At 42.1% G+C, this 12,200-nt stretch overlaps 1 annotated feature.

Annotated features, from left to right (window-relative positions):
* Positions 6,497-6,998: an enhancer, noted in NCBI's record as "H3K4me1 hESC enhancer chr6:7526687-7527188 (GRCh37/hg19 assembly coordinates)". NCBI's record gives its function as "activates a minimal SCP1, AML or CMV promoter by ChIP-STARR-seq in primed H9 embryonic stem cells {active_cell/tissue: H9 hESC(primed)}" and the evidence as "EXISTENCE:reporter gene assay evidence [ECO:0000049][PMID:30033119]".

The raw sequence follows: 12,200 nt of genomic DNA on the forward strand, positions 1-12,200 counted from the left end.
GATGTAATTGTCCTTGCTGAAGTGGGAGTAAGTACACTTTTGTGGAATGCTCATACCTCTGATCTGGAAATTCCACCAGTCATCATGTGATGCTGACAGATTTTTACCTTTGAATATGAAAAATGATTAAGAATACTTTGGGGGATTTTCTTTTCATAAAGAGAAATTACCAGTCACTTCTCCCAATTCTTTTTATTTTTTATTTGTATTAATCTAATTTTACAGAGATGGAGTCTCACCATGTTGCCCAGGCTGGCCTCAAACTCCTGAGCTCAAGGAATCCTCCCACCTTGACCTCCCAAAGTGCTGGGATTATAGAAATGAGCCACCATGCCTGGGCTCCCAATTCTCGAAGTTGGAGAAAATGGAAAAAAGGTGATATTGATGGTGAGGAGTTTGGGAACAAATAGCCCTCATGGTCCTGTCTGCTCATGTCAATGAGGGAGGGGATCCCTGGTGGAATACCTCACGGGAGAGGCAGGCGTCAAAATCTGACTGGGTAAGAATACACGACCCCGGCAGGCCCACGTTGTATTGGCCTCCTTTATCCATAAAGGGTGAGGTGGAAAGTGAGAGGAAGGAGCATTTCCTCCTGAGAGAATAGAGTTGTGACACAGCCATATTTGACCTGGTCATCTCTGATGGTCTATCAGGTGCTGCGTAAGACCAACAGAAACTACTCACTGAGCCATCCCTATTAGGTGACCCATGACCTTAATTAATGACCACTAATCTGTGTTCATTGTTTACCAGCAGGTTAATAAGCCCTTTAGTAATACCAGAGAAGAAAACAATTAGGAAAGTACAGGCTAAATGACTGTATGACCTGCAGAGAGCCTAGACTTTTATCTGGCCCATCAGTTTGGGCTCCATAGTAAGTGTAGCACAATATTTCCTTTAATAATTATGTAGGACTAACGTCTCATCTCCCTGGGAAGCTCCAAACACTTGACTTATGAATAGGCTCTCTTTCTCTTCATTGCTAGAATTCCATCCATCACCACCCTCATTAAAGAAAATATATATAAGTTTTGAAGTTGCTTGTGTTTTTATAGAGATTCAATTGCCAATGAAATAATCTTGAAATTTCTAGATAGCACTGGGCATGGTGGCTCATGTCTATAATCCATGCACTTTGGGAGGCCGAGGTGGAAAGATTGCTCGAGCCCAGGAGTTAGAGACCAGCCTGGGCAATATGGCAAAACCTATCTCTACAAAAAATACAAAAATTAGCCAGATGTGGTGGCAGGCACCTGTAGTCCCAGCTCCTTGGGAGGCTGAGATAGGAGGGATCACCTTAGCCCAGAGAGGTTGAGGCTGCAGTGAGCTCTGATAGTGCCACTGCACTCCATTGGGCGACAGAGTGAGACCCTATCTCAAAACAAAACAAAACAAATGTCTATGTAGGCATTTTGAGTAAACTTTTTACTAAAGTGTAATATTCATATAGAAATACATACAAATCATAAGTACAGAGTGGGATGAATTTCCTCACTCATCAACACACCATGTCCCCAGGTCAAGAAACAAAACATTACTGTCATCCCAGAAGTCCCCTCTTTGGACCCTTTTGGTCACTCCCTACCCAAGGTAACTATTACCCTAATTCTTTTTTTTTTTTTTTTTTTTTGAGACAGAGTCTCACTCTGTCACCAGATTGGAGTGCAATGGTTCAATCTTGGGTCACTGCAACCTCTGCCTCCCAGGTTCAAGTGATTCTTGTGCTTCAGTCTCTTGAGTAGCTGGAATTACAGGTGCATACCACCACACCTGGCTAATTTTTGTATTTTTTGTAGAGACAGGGTTTCACCATGTTGGGCAGGCTGGTCTCAAACTCCTGGCCTCAAGTAATCCGCCTGCCTCAGCCTCCCAAAGTGCTAGTATTACAGGCGTGAGCCATTGTGCCTGGCCACCACTACCCTAATTCTAACGCCATGTATTCATATCATCTGTTTTTGAATGTTTCCTTTTCAAGTTAACCAGTTTAAGTTTGTTCCTGTGGACAGAAAGCTGTCTTGTCAGTATTTTTATCTCATCAGTTATAATGATAAAGAATGCTATTTTTTTTCATCTTTTTCCTTAGTGCCCTAGAGTGATTGGATGAGCTTGATATAAAGCTGTAGAGCTCAAAAGCTAAAACATCTTTCCCACAGATGCCATCAGTCTTTTCGTTTAATCGTTTGACCTAGAGGGGCTGTGAACATCTCTGTTCTGGTGTATTTTACAGAGAACATCTCTGTAGCTGGTGTATTTTAGTGCTTATTTGTGGATCCGATTCAAGTCATATATATTTGCATATTTTACTTTTATGCACGTGTGAAATGTGCACATACACACACACAGAGCTTCCTGTTTTTCCTGCATTGATTTCTCCTTTCCTATTTCTATCCTCAGTAGACATCCTTCTCTACCCCACGCTATCCTTGCCTTGGGCTCCTCGTACAGACCTTCCTCAACAAATCCCACTCTCCAGACTCAGCCACCCCTGTACACACTGCCTTAAAATGATTGACTATTTATCATTCAAAAGGTGCACACAACCATGGAGAATCCGCTTTCACTTCTACTTTTGATGTAAAGACCATAAGAAATCCAGGTTTGGAAGGGGAAACAGTGCAGTTAAAGCAACTGGTAGAATGTGTGGCTTTTCACCATCTGCCTGAAGTTCCATTCTGAGTTTTTCCTGAATGAGGATGGGATGTCTGTGTTCATACATTTTTTTCTTTTTAAAATATGTCTCAGGCTGGAGTGCACTGGCTATTCACAAATGCAATCATAGTGCACTATAGCCTCAAACTCCTGGGCTCAGGCAGTCCTCCCACTTCAGCCTCCCGACTAGCTGGGCCTACAGGCAGACACCACTGCTTGTGGTTTTGTGTTGAGACATTTGTTTGCTGAAGTGACAGGCACCCCGTTCATGAGCTCATTCATTCACTCATTCACTCATTCATTCATTCAACAGATCTTTCCTGAGTCCTATTATGTGCCTGACATTGTTTGAGAAGCTGAACTTCTCAAGGGAGAGATCTGTTCTTCAGACCAGAGGGAAATTTGGAAGCCCAAATAGAGAACAGTATTTCTAGATCTGACCTTTAGACTATAAGAGGCACCTAATTCCTTAAAATAGAATATTGTTGCTTTTCATTATGCCATGCACATGATAAGGGCTCTGTATATATTTTGGGATGAGGGCAATAGTATTGTCCATGTTTCTCTAAAATAAACTGGTAAAACTCTGAATTGTTTAGATTGAAATGAATAAGATCATTATTACTTTTTAAATTAAGTCTAATCTCTTAGTTAAGTCACCACAACGTATTTGCAGTTGTTTGTGTATGGGCCTGTTTCTTTCTTGGAATAATACTCACTCCTTTCTAGGCTGCCACCTTTCCTGTTAGTTCTACAATGATGGTGAGCATCATATTCTACCTTTTTGTGTATTGCCTTTCATTTTAAAGGCTTATGGCAGAAGGATCTGAGGCATCCTTAAGGAAGAATTAGGTAGATGTATGAACAAAATACTACATATCCTTTTTGTGTTATGCAATAAATCATATAGTTCTTGCTTCAGATGATTTCTTCCAGACTCACTCAGCAACACTCTTTACCCAGACTATATAGCCTTGACTTTCAATAAAAAACAAAGATGAGGCCAGGTGTGGTGGCTCACGTCTGTAATCCCAGCACTTTGAGAGGCCGAAGTGGGAGAATCACCTGAGGACAGGAGTTCGAGCCCTGCCTGGCCAACGTGGTGAAACCCTGTCTCTACTAAAAATACAAAAATTAGCTGGGTGTGGTGGCACATGCCTGTAATCCTAGCTACTTGGGTGGTTGAGGCACAAGAATCACTTGGACCCAGGAGGCAGAGGTTGCAGTGAGCCAAGACCACTCAGGGGTGGTGCCTGGGTGACAAAGTGAGACCCTGCCTCAAAAAAAAAAAAAAAAAAAAAAAACGAAAACCAAAGATGAGTTACCAAAAAAGTTTTAACAAAGGGCACAGGGGAGAAACTCCTCCTCTTCCCATGGCCAGCATTCTGTTACCAGTTGATAGTTTGCACACAGCCAGCTTTGACTGAACTCACCCCTGTTAGTTCAAATTTCTCTGAGATCTGAACTGGAAAGAGGAAAGAGACATTAAAAATGAGCTCACTGAGTTGTTTTTAAATTTGTCACACTGAACCCACGACTGTTAATCCCATTCACGGCTGTAGTAATTATATTGCATAATCAGTGAGGGGAGATCCTCCCCCTTTTGTACTCTTATTGAATAGAGAAGACAGAAAAATGTCAGAGCTCTGCCCTAAACTAAGATTCCTTCCCACAAAAGAATTCTGGACTCAGAAGGGAAGCATGATCCTTTACAAGGTGAGCTCACCTTGTCCACTCTCAGCTCAGGGGTAGCGAACTCATAAACCAGTGATTCCTAGTCTATAGGACATGGATGCCTGATGAGGCATTTAAAATTGTGGGGCTGCAAGCATTATCTATAGACTGCATGCATAATATTTTACACCTACTCATACTATTCAAAAACATGGGGATGTGTAATTGCAATTAATAAAACACAAATTTGCTCAAAGGCATCACTAAATTCATGACTGTTTTAAAAATAATGCTAATACATAATATTTATTCCATTGGTTATTGTCAGAAGATTTCTTTGCTTAGAAGCAAATTAGGAGTTTCTAATAACAAGATGGCCCTTGTAATTTAAAAGTTTGGGGGTCACTGTTTGAGACTGTTGGTGATCTATGTTTAACTCACGGATGACCTCCTCCTAGCTCTATGAAATGTTGAGGTGTTGACATCCCAAACCTGTTTTAACTGGAACATACATATGAATCCCACTCTGCACAAGGCATGATATTCTTGATTTCATCCTTTCCTAACTCCCTTTGTCTCATGGCATTTACAAATCTTTTTTTTTTGAGACGGAGTCTCGCTCTGTCACCAGGCTGGAGTGCAATGGCATGACCTCGGCTCACTGCAACCTCCGCCTCCCGTGTTCCAGCGATTCTCCTCCCTCAGCCTCCCAAGTAGCTGGGACTACAGGTGCACACCACCACGCCCAGCTAATTTTTTTGTATTTTTAGTAGAGATGGGGTTTCACCATGTTGGCCAGGATAGTCTTGATCTCTTGACCTTGTGATCCGCCTGCCTTGGCCTCCCAAAGTGCTGGGATTACAGGCATGAGCCACCGCGCCCGGCCCAGCATTTACAAATCTAATTGAAGAAATACGAAATAAGTGCACACAGAAGTTACATAATGAGTTAAGAAAATGCAAGGAGAAAACATATAGTACATGATCAATTGCGAAATGCTGTGAACTCAAAGAGACAGCAGGAGGGAAAGGTAGAGAGAGAGGGAGAGGAAGGTGAGTGGTATGGTGAGAGGAAGTGTGTTCCCAGGGCGGACATCAGAGCAGGTTTTTACAGACTCGCATTCCTGGCTCTGCTGATTGCCACCCAAGTGACCATGGATAGATAACCTGACCCCGCTAAGCCTCTGTTTTATCGTCAATAAAATCAAGATTATAATTATAATACCTCTCATATTGTGTTATTGTGAAGATAATTTATGACAAAATATATTAAATGCTTTGTACTATAGCTAATGTATAATATGTGCAAACTAAATGGTAGCTAGTGTTTATTCTATTAGACTAAATCCCTCCAGGATGGGAAGTATGACTTACTTATTTTTGCTTCCACAGAATCTAGCACAATGCTTGACTCATAAGTACTCAGTAAAAGGAAAACATTTGTTGAATGAAGGGAAGGATAAATGGATAGATGGCGGGATGAATTTTTTTTAAATGAACTATGGGCTTTGGTGACATGGAAGGGTGTCATGGAGAGCAAGAGGTGAATCTAACCGTGCATGGAGAAGAGAGGAGGGCACTGCAGTGGGAGAGGGCAGGAACCAAAGCACAGAGGCAGGAAGGCACCTGGGATTGAGTATTGGGATTCGGCTGTGGAGGGAGTGGCCTGCCAGGCTGTGGAGTGTGTATCTTACCTGTGGATAGTGGGAGCCAAAGAAGATTCATGAGGAGGAGAATGGCATGAGAAGGGAACTTTTCAGAGGGTTAGCCTGGTGCTGGTGTGGAAAGGAAGGGGGCAATCCATACTAAGCGAGAAGTGGTCAAGTTCCTGACCAGAGTGACAACTATGGAAATAGAGACAAAGGACTGACTGAGGAGAGGTCAGAGGTCTCACATCTCAATTCATTTGGAATTGGTAAGGTGGTCACTTAAACCATCTACCAACACGCCTGCTGACTCTTGAAAGGCCACATTTTTGGCTGGGCACAGTGGCTCATGCTTGTAATCCCAGCACTTTGGAAGGTCAAGGTGGGCGGATCACCTGAGGTCAGGAGTTTGAGACCAGCCTGGCCAACATGGTGAAAGCTTGTCTGTACTAAAAATACAAAAATTAGCTGGGCTTAGTGGCACACTCCTGTAATCCCAGGAGGATGTACTCGGGAGGCTGAGGCAGGAGAATCGCTTGAACCTGGGAGTCGGAGGTTGCCGCGAGCCAAGATCATGTCATTGCACTCTGGCCTGGGCAGCAAGAGCAAAACTCCGTTTCAAAAAAAAAAAAAGAAAAAAAGAAAGACCACACTTTTGAAAATCACTGTGGGTGAGTACTGAGTTAGAGAAGAGACATTGGAGGAATGGGTTGACGAGAAGTGTGGAGCCTGCTGCATGAACTGAGTCAAGGAAAGGTGATTTGAGGGGTAGGCTTTTTTTTGTTTTTTTTTTTTGTTTTTTTTTTTAGAGACTTGGGAAGATCAACAGCGGTGAGTATTAGAATGGGCAATGGAGAGGGAATAATCTATAAACGTGGAACTGAACTCGGGGCTAAACTGCCAATGACGGAGACTCACTTGCCTGAACAAAAGTGAACTGGAAGTCCAGCAACAGGCTCTGCCTGTGGTGGGGCCGAGGGCACAGGTGAAGCCTGGTGGTTGGAGCCACACTGGGCCACTCCCCTTCCCTGAGGAGGAAGCAGAGCTGTGGTCACCTCCCTTCCCCCTCCAGCCTCCATGGAGATCTCCCCTCCCTCCTCCACGTCCCGCGGATACTTCCCTTCCCCTCCACGGTGCACGGAGACCTCCTCTGCCCCCTTCAATTTCACTTGACTAGGAAGACACAGAGGAGCTAGCGCAGGTGGCCTGCTTCTTTTATGTTTTTGGAAAAGCGGTCTGTCTTTCAGGAGGAAGTTATTTTTTCTTAGATAAAGGGACTATCTCTGGGGGAAAAATGATTCCAAAAAAAAGAAATAAAAAACAAAGAAAAATAAGGACTCTCCTTTCTCCTACCCTTGGGGGGAATTCACTCATTCATTACCACATTTAATTAAATTGAAAAAATAGCCACTTTCTTCTTCCAATAACTACTATTGTCGGTGACTACTTGATGTTGTCTTCTGTTAACCACATGACATCCTCTGTGAGTTTGTGGAGCACCAGGGAAGAGGTAAGAACACCCAACTCAGTATTGCTTTTCCGTAACACAGGAAGATGCTGTTAGGGCTAGGTATTCTCTGGGGTTCTTAAAAATTAGATCAATCCAAGAAGACTGAGAAAAATCACATGTATTTCCCCAAAGAACTTTACAAAGGGTAAGACGCTCTAGCCCGGAACTAGAACTTTAGCATAAATCTGGTCTGAAACCTTGGTTAAGGATGTAACAGTTTATATTGGGGAATCTGTATGTGGATCTGAAAAGCAGGCAGCTTTCTAGGTTTCTTATTCACAACTGGTGCAGATATAAAGTGGTGCCACCATCTGAGACGACACTTTGGCCTTTTTGTGTGTGAAAATTGACATACTCTATGTGAAAATTCATATATTCTATGGTCTAACCTTCCATCCTTGGGTATATACCAACAAGAAAACCCAGGAGACATATCTAAAGATGTTCAGAGTAGACCTTTTTGTAATAGCAAAAATGTATAAATCAACCAGTTGTCCATCAACAGCAGAAAAGATAAATACAATGTAATACGTTCATACAATGGAAAGTTATTAAATCATTAAATGGCAGATGGTCTTATAGTGACACGCAACAAAGTGGATAAATCTGAATAATATAATAGTGAGAAAGTTAAAGCCGGGTGCAGTGGCTCACGCCTGTAATCCACTTTGGGAGGCTGAGGCAGGCAGATCACTTGAGGTCAGGAGTTTGAGACCAGCCTGGCCAAACTAATTAAACCTAACTCTACTAAAAATACAGAAATTAGCTGAATGTGGTGGCGGGCATCTAATCCCAGCTACTCAGGAGGTTGAGGCACGAGAATCACTTGAACCCACGAGGTGGAGGTTGCAGTGAGCTGAGATCACACCATTACACTCCAGCCTGGGTGACAGAACAAGACCCCATCTCAAAAACAAACAAACAAAATAAAAAAACAAAAATAAAAAAGCAAGTTAAGTCCAAGAATTACACACGACATTAAGCTCCCTTCACAATGTTAAAAACAACTAAAATGAAACAACAAAGTTTTCCAGAATAGGTATATTTATGATAAAACTATAAAACACACATATACTTAATAGGAAGTGAATAGTAAACCAAAAACTCAATATCCAGGAGAGTTCGCTCAGGTGAGCAGATGGATATAAATTACACTCGTTTTGGGTGGTGAGCTGGTGGATGTTCTTTATCTTATTTTACAAATAGGGTGATGGGGAATGCAGGGACCAGAGATGAGTGTGTCATGAGCTATGACGTATGATTAATCCAGTTCTGCACATCTGAGTGGGGTAGGGGTTGTGGGAAACCATCGCAGGTCTTGTGGGACACAGACAGACCTGATGACTTTTCAGATAGAATTGCAGACTGAGTAGGCGGAGGAATGGAGTAGATATATTATTAGAGTTTGTCATCCAGGGCCTGGCAGGATAATCAGTGTCATGAAGGGCAGCACTCCTGCCTGGAGGAGTTTTCAGCTTATTCCAGACAAAACAACAATGGAGACATTGAGTCTGAGTTAAACATTACGGCCATGGAGTCTACTGTTTTTATTTTTCTAAAGATAAAGATATTGTAACTCAAATGTCTTTATTTTATTTTTTCTGTCAAGAAAGTTATTGCAGAGACAAAAATTTGGAAAATAAAGGATAAAAAAGAAAATATTATTCCAATACCCAGAGATCATCACTGTCAACCTTTTGGTGTGTTTGCCTCCTGTGGACTGTGATAGATAAGAACCACTAACTACCCACCCGTTGTATATTTTCTGACCGAGGCGACCTAGCAAAACTGTTTAGAGCTTAATTCTTTGGAGTGAGAAGAACTGAATTTGAATCCCAGCTTTGCACTTACCAGCTCATGGCAAGCCAATAGCCTTCCGTAAACCCCAGCTCGGTGATGGCACTAGTGGGATTTGTTTTGAGGATTAACCAAGAGGAAACGTGGTGCAATTAGCATTTACAGTGTCTGGCACACAGTCAACCTTCAATGAGAGTTGTGAGTTATTATTAAGATGATGTGCCTGGTTTGGGGCAGTGAGGTTCATTTAGTTAAAAGATGGGGAACTCCAAAAAACACCCAAACAGTGGAAGGGATCCTAGGGTTGTGAAGGTGGAAAGGGCTATGTTATGTTTGATTTGAAGACAACCTGATGGGTGACTTCCAATATGTGAAAATGAAGGCTGTCTCAGAGGATTTGAGAGCCCAGAAAATAAGCTTAATCCTGCTCTTTCAGCATAATAGAAAGTTTATTTATCCTCCTCCAGTGAGAAAAAAAAAATACCTTCAACATGAGAAGAGGAAAGGGCAGGGGAGGAAATGACAGGGACAAGCAGTATCATCTTTTGAGCCTTTGTCTTGGCCACAGCAACTCTCTGAGAATAATAATATACTCTATTTCTCCTGCACTGGGGACCGAACAAGGGGGTATCTAGGTTGAATGCCTCCAAATTTATGTTCTAAAAGTGATGGAACATCCTCACCACTGAAGGTTTTATAAAATGTACAACGGACCAGAGTGGCCTTGGGCTTCTCAACAGCAATTCTGCAAACAACAGATAATGGAGCAATGCTTCCAATAGTCTGAGGGGCCATTATTTCCAAACTTAAATTTGATATCTGGCCAGATGATCAATGAAGTTTGTAGTGGAATAAAGACACTTTCAAACACACAGGTTCTCAAAAACTTTACCTCCCATGTCAGTGGAAGATGTGTGCCACCCCACTGAAGGAGTAAACCAAGAAAGCAAAAGACACTGGACCCAGAAAAGAGAGGATCCAACCAACACGCAGCAGGCAGAGGGGATGACGGTGAAGGAGACCCCACCTCAGCAGCTGAGAAGCAGGTCAGGTCTGGAGAGCAACCAGTTCAGATTGGAGCCAGCCAGAAGATGCCAGGAAAGAATGCTTTGAGCAATGAAATTAATAGAATAACTGATATGAATGTATTGAGAAAATCTTTACTCAACTAGGGGAGAGTGTGGGGATAAATTAATAATAGTAACAGACTACTAAGCCAAAGGGGAAAAAAAAGACAGTTCTTAACACTGGGTGATGGGGAAATTGTAATGAAAATGAAAGTTAAGGCTGGGCGCGGTGGCTCATGCCTGTAATCCCAGCACTTTGGGAGGCCGAGGTGGGTGGATCACCCGAGGTTGGTGGATCACCCGAGGTTAGGAGTTCAAGACCAGCCTGGCCAACATGGTAAAACCCATCTCTACTGAAAATACAAAAAAAAAAAAATTAGCCCGGTGTGGTGGCACGTGCCTGTATTCCCAGATACTCCAGAGGCTGAGGCAGGAGAATCGCTTGAACTCGGGAGATGGAGGCTGCAGTGAGCCGAGATTGTGCCATTGCACTCCAGCCTGGGCAACAAGAGTGAGACTCTGTCCCAAAAAAAAAAAGAAAAAAAAGGAAAAGTTTATAGTAATTTTACTACTTAAAAACAACATAGCAGTGTTATTTACAGTATCCAAAAAGTGGAAGCAATCCAAATGTCCATCAATTGATGACTGGTAAAAAAAAATGTGGTGTATTCATACAGTGAAATGTTATTTAGCCTTAAAAAGGAGAGAAATTCTGACACATGATATAACAAGGATCAACCTTGAGGACGTTATGCTAAGTGAAATGAGCCAGACACAAAAGCACAAATACTGTGTGATTCCGTGTTCATATGAGGTCCCTGGGGTAGTCAAATATATTATAGAGACAGAAAGTAGAATGGCAGTTACCAGGGGTGGTTGAAGTTGGGGAATGGGGAGTTTGTGGTTTTTGTTTTTGTTTTTTTGTTTTTGAGACAGGGTCTCACTCTCTCGCCCAGGCTGGAGTACAGTCGCAGCTCACTGCAACCTCCGCCTCCTGAGCTCAAGTGATCCGCCCGCCTCAGCCTCCCAAGTAGCTGGGACTACAGGTGCACACCTGTATTTCTGTAGAGACGGGGGCTTGCCCTGTCATCCAGGCTGGTCTCAAACTCCTGAGCTCAAGTGGTCCGCCTGCCTCAGCCTCCCAAAGTGCTGAGATTACAGGTGTGTGCCATCGGGCCTAGCTGTGAGTTAGTGTTTAATGGGGACAGTTTCTATTTGAGATGATGAAAAAGTTCTAGAAATGGATCGTGGTGATGATTGCACAACAATGTGAATGTACTTAAGATCACAGAACTGTACACTTAAAATGATTAAAAAGATAAATTGTGTTATTTATATTTTACTGCAATAAAATATCTGTGCAGAAAACCCCAAAACACCCGGTAAGGTGCTGTACAAATGAATTGAATTACAATTCAATTATTTTTCTCATAGTGATATCAGATTTTAAAGACTCAGATATTGGTGAGATCCCAATACCTCACTTTGGTAAGGAAAAGGAAATTACCTTTTCCCAACAAAATCACATATCTTTATTTTTAAAATCTATGATTCGAAAGGCATACCCTAACAAATAATCCTGTATATCCATCTTCCAGTGATAACCCCTATGCCTCAAGATCCTTTATCTGTCTCTTCTAACATATAATTTTCAGTGTAAAAAAAGTCTGACCATACTACATATATGGTTTAAAAATTGCTTTCTAAACAACTTTACAATATATTTTGCCTTCTTTCCACATCTATGTTTATATGAACACACTCATTTTTTAACTTATTTTTGGGAACTCTGGGATCAAGGTATATTTTATATTAATGTAAGTCCCTCTTCTAAAGACAAGCCCCTCTGTAGTTAGAG

Source organism: Homo sapiens, chromosome 6 (genome assembly GCF_000001405.40).
Source record: "Homo sapiens chromosome 6, GRCh38.p14 Primary Assembly".
NCBI lineage: Eukaryota > Metazoa > Chordata > Mammalia > Primates > Hominidae > Homo > Homo sapiens.